Source organism: Homo sapiens, chromosome 21 (assembly GCF_000001405.40).
Source record: "Homo sapiens chromosome 21, GRCh38.p14 Primary Assembly".
In the NCBI taxonomy this organism is placed as follows: Eukaryota; Metazoa; Chordata; class Mammalia; order Primates; family Hominidae; genus Homo; species Homo sapiens.
Window position 1 is genome coordinate 30,556,217 of NC_000021.9, and position 5,316 is coordinate 30,561,532.

The 5,316-nt window shown below is 37.2% G+C and overlaps 1 protein-coding gene across 1 annotated transcript; it reads right to left on the minus strand.

Annotated features, from left to right (window-relative positions):
• Positions 1 to 4,658: 4,658 nt before the first annotated feature.
• KRTAP19-7 (keratin associated protein 19-7) lies at positions 4,659 to 5,098 on the minus strand. Its single transcript, NM_181614.3, has one exon. It carries the CDS (start codon positions 5,071 to 5,073, stop codon positions 4,882 to 4,884), a length of 192 nt encoding a protein of 63 aa, NP_853645.1. The 5' UTR covers positions 5,074 to 5,098; the 3' UTR covers positions 4,659 to 4,881.
• Between the last annotated feature and the right edge of the window lie 218 nt (positions 5,099 to 5,316).

The following is a 5,316-nucleotide window of genomic DNA, read 5'->3' on the forward strand; positions in this document are numbered from 1 at the left end:
GTTTAAATTGGAATTGTCTATTGAAATTTGTACGTAAATGTATGTGTATTGTGTCTGTGTACATGGTGTCCATTCCTATAACTATACCTATATATATTGATTGGCAAAAACACCATAAGGAAAGCGAAAAATAAAAAATGACAAGCAGACAAGAATAAATACATGCAACATATGTCACAGGTAAATGGGATCATATTATTGATATATAATAAGCATTGAGTATTGAAGTAAAAATGGGAAAAATATGAACAGATAATTCAACCAGAAGATATAACATGACCATTAGGCATAACAAATGATGTTCAACCTCACTTGTAATATGAGAAATACAAATTAAAACTAATTTATGAACCATTTCTCACCTGTCAGATTGGGAAAAAAATAGAAATATGACAATGCATTTTATCGGCAAGGCTATTGAGAAATAGTCATTCGTATACATTGCGGATGGGAATGCAAATTGGTAAAGTCCAGCTGGAGCGGGTGATAGGGAGAATAATGGCCCCGTTGAATGTCCAGATGTCAGACCTCATCATTTCCAAGTTTGTGAGCTTACATAGCCAAAGAGACTTTGAGGATGTGATTATGGTTATGAAACTTCAGATGGGGAAATTTTTCTAGTTCTCCAGGCAGGCCTGGTCTTATCACAGACAGAGTCTTTCAAAGCAGGGGAACTTTCTCTGATGTGGAGAACCGTAAAGATGGCAGCATGAGAAGGACTTCATATACCATTGCTGCTTTGAAGGGTGCCGTGGGCCACAAAATGTGGGCAGTCTCAAAGCAGGAAAAGGCATGGGAATAGAAAGAGATGCAGCCATACCAACTCTGTGCTGGGCATCTGACCTACACAACTGTGAGATAATAAATATGCGCTATTTAAGCTACCAGGGGTATGGTAATATATTACAGCCAGAGTAGAACACTAATACATAAGAGAAGCTGGAAATCACTACTAACACATAAACTTGCAAATCAACAATGCTTCTTTGGGAATTTACTCTGAAGTTACACCTTTAGCAATACACATATATGAATGTACAAGTTGAGTCATTACACCATCACTTGTAATTGCAAATAGTGAAGAAATGTAGGTGCCCATGCATAAGAGAATGGGTAAATTCACTCCAGTGTATAGAAAAAATAGAGAATTATCCAACTTTAAACATTTAAAAATGTAAATAGAGAACATGTCTCGAAACTAATATGGGATGATTTCCAGGGCACATTGTTAAGTGATAAAAGAGCAAAGTACAATAAAATATCTATAGTATGCTACCTTTTGTGTAAGAAACATAAAGAGGAAAACATGCATTTATCAAATAATTTGTATGGAGAAAAAAGGAAGGGTAAACCACAAGCCAATCTGATTTGTCACCTGCAGAGGAAGATTAAGGCAAAAACTGAAAGGACAGGAGGATGGCAATGGGGTAGAAGGAATAAATTCTAAGCTCTATTATGATAGATTTTTATTTTTGCTTTTCTTGAAATATATTTATATAATCATATAATGGATACTCTTTTCTGTATTGCTTATTTAGTTTCTGTATTGCTTATTTAGTTCAATATTAAGTCTATGAGTTTCTCCCACATCGTTGAGGACAGCAGTACTTTGTTACTTACCATTGCTATGTAGGAATATACCACCAAAATATTATTCATTTTGCAATATCCATTGTGGAAATTTAGCTTCTTTTCAGATTGAGGCTATTGAATAAAACTACAATGAATATTCTAACATTTTTTTTTGGTGGGCATATGCACTCATTTCTGTTGGATACATTCCCAGGAATGGAATTGGCTGTGTCATAGAAAATATATATGCTAAGCTTTAATAGACATGGCTAGTTTACTTTTCTTTTCTTTTCTTTTTTTTTTTTTTTTTTTGAGACCAAGTCTTGCTCTGTCGCCCAGGCTGGAATTCAGTGGCACAATCTCAGCTCTCTGCAACCTCCGCCTCCCAGGTTCTAAGCGATTCTCCTGCCTCAGCCTCCTGAGTAGCTGGGACTGTAGGTGTGTGTCGTTACACCTGGCTAATTTTGTATTTTTAGTAGAAATGGGGTTTCACCATGTTGGCCAGGCTGGTGTCGAATTCCTGACCTCAGGTGATCCGCCTGCCTTGGCCTCCCAAAGTGCTGGTATCACAGGCGTGAGCCACTGCACCAGGGGCATGGCCAGTTTTCTAAAGGGCTTATACTAATTCATTTTCTCAGTGGTAATGTGCAAAAGTTCCTGATATTCTATATCCCGGCCTACATAAACAAAATGTTGTAAGTCCTTTTAATAATGACTTTCTGGTGAGTGCATATTACTATTTCTCACTCAAAATTTAATGTTCATGTCTCTGATGACAAATGGTACTGAACTCCTTCATACATGCTAATTAGACATTTGGATATCTTTTACGAATTGGCTAATTAAGCCTTTTGCAAATTCTAAAAATTGTTTTGTTAGATTTTTTCTTATTAAATTTATAGCATATCTAAATAAGTAATGTGTGCCAGGTCCACATAACTGTGTGCTAATTGTCTTTTTTCTGTCTGTGGTCTTTTCCATTTTTTAATTGTGCCTTTTGGTAAATAGGAATTTAGAAGTTCTTAATATTTTCTTCATCAGGACTGTATTGGTTATTGCAGGTTCTTAATATTTCTGTATAAATTTTAGATCAACTTGTTAAGTTTATATGGTTTGGCTCTAGGTCCCCACACAAATCTTATCTTGAATTGTAATCCCTGTGTGTCAGGGTAGGGAACTGGTGGGAGGTGATTGGCTCATGGTTGCGGATTTCCCCCATGCTGCTTTCATGATAATGAGTGAGCTCATTAAAATTGTGGCACTTTCATCCTCGCTCTCCCTCTCCTGCCGCCATGTAAGACATGCCTTGCTTCCCCTTTGCCTTCCGCCATGGTTATAAGTTTCCTGAGGCCTCCACAGCCATGTGGAACTGTAAGTCAATTAAATCTCTTTTCTTTTTAAATTACCCAGTCTCATTATTTTGGATCTTTAAGATTTAATGACTGCCCTGTTGGGTTTTAAACTTACATGGTGCCTGTAGCCCTTTTCTTTTGGATGATTTCTCCCTTTTTGGAATGGGAGTATTTACCCATTGCCTATACCCTCATTGTTTCTTGGAAGTAACTAATTTGTTTTTGAGTTTACAGGCTCATAGGTGGAAGAGACTAGCCTTGTCTCAAATGAGATTTTGGACTGAGAACTTTTGAGTTAATGCTGGAATGAGTTAAGATTTTGGGGGATGTTGAGAAGAAATCATTGTATTTTGCAATGTGAGAAGGGCATGAGATTTGGGAGGGGCAGGGGGCAGAATGATATTCTTTGGATTAGTGTCCCCATCCAAATCTCATGTCGAATTGTAATCCCCAGTGCTGGAGGTGGGGCCTGGTGGGAGATGATTAGCTCATGGGGGCAGTTTCTTATGGTTTAACACTGTCCGCCTTGGTGCTGTCATGACAGTGAGTGAGTTCCCATGAGATCTGGTTGTTTAAAAGTGTATAGCACCTCCACTTTCTCTCTCTTCTTCCTGCTCCACCATGATTTCTTGTTTGCCCTTCACCTTCCACCTGCTTCCCCTTCCTCTTCCACCATTATTGTAAGTTTCCTGAGGCCTTCCCTGGAGACCAGTAGATGGCCTGCATCATTCTTCCTGTACAGCCAGAGGAATCATGAGCCAATTAAACTTCTTTTCTTTATAAATTACCCAGTCTCAGGTATTTCTTTATAGAAATGGAAGAATGAACTAATACAGCTAACCTTAAAAAAAAAGTACAGAAGAGTCTTAGTGTTTTATCTTATCTTATTCTCTGAAAGAGAAACTGTTCAGAATTAACTGGTGAAATCATCTAGTCTTAAATTTGCATATTTGTCAAAATGGATTCATGAATTCCACTTCTTTATGACATATAGAAATATTCAGGTTCGTATTTCTTCTTGGGTCCACTTTTTATACATTTAATTTAATCAGATAATATGTATTTGAAGATGGAATAAATTGGCCCGAGCTTTGTTTTATAGCTTTTTTTCTATGCAATTTTTTAAACATACACAAAAGAAGAAAGAATAACTATTACACCAGCCACCATATTCCCATCTCCTAGATAAAGCTATTGTTAATACTTTGATATAATTCCTTCACACTGTTGTTCTCCAATGTTATAATCTATGTGCAAGCTAAAACCTTTTCTTATTATATTGCTCTGAAATTATCAAGATATTCTCCAAGAAATAGTGAATTAAAAGATTAAGCAGAAGTTTATCACCACAGAAGCATCTTTAACCTTTTGGTGTAGAATTCCTGTTTGCCTGGACAAGAAAATATAGATATTGAGAATGTTAAAGATGAGGAGGAGGAAGAAGACAAAGGAGAAGGGGATAAAGAAAAGAAGATAAAGGAGAGGAAAGGGATGGAAAGGGAGGAAGAAGGTTTAAGGGACAGGAAGAATGACGAGGAGGAGGAGGGTGAAGAAATAATCGTGACATATAACGTATTGGTAATTTTTTTATCTATAAGAAGAAAATATCACCATGGTTGATTATATTAATGCATCACAGCACATTTATTGTGATAAAAATTTGAGGCTCAAAACACATTTACCACATGAGAAAAAGTTCATGGTTAGATATCAGATATTGAAAGACAATCTTTCTTAGAGTATAATGGCTCTCCAGCCAATAAAAAAGTGAATATCTGGAGAACATCACTAATCAAATGCCAATATCTAGTTGATCAAGTTTTCTTCACACTATTGTCAAAAGGCAGGTGATCCAAGCAGCTGTTTTGTTATGGAATATGGAATTCCATATGGTTATGGAATAAAGTTTCTTGGAAGAATTGGGAATCTCACAGAAGACTATATTTCAAGTATTTATTCAATAGAATCCAGAAGACCAGTATCCCCCATAGCATGATGGGTGGCAGCAGCTGTATCTGTAGCCTCCATAGCCACAGCCATAGCCCAGTCTGCGGAAGCTGCCACATCCACAGCTATAGCCATAGCCCAGGCCACCGAATCCTCCACAGCCGTAGCCTAGGCCTCCATAGTAGCTGCCGGAGTAGCTCATGTTGTCAGAAGTGGTTAGCTGTTGTAGGTCAGTTTGGTGACTGTGACTGGACAGGAACATTTATATATACTCTGATGCATGTGGAAAGCCACACCTTTAAATGTCATCCCTTAGAACGTGTTACCTGAAAACTATGCCAACTATCTTGTTTTGTAACACCCATCCCACTCTCTTCCTTGTTTATGAAGCTAGTTATTTAGAAATTATACAACATGTTTTATTTTCTGCTTTATTTGGATTTCT

What these genes read in the sequence shown, in the direction of transcription:
- KRTAP19-7 (NM_181614.3), bottom strand. Translation starts at nt 5,073, where the DNA reads ATGAGCTACTCCGGCAGCTACTATGGAGGCCTAGGCTACGGCTGTGGA.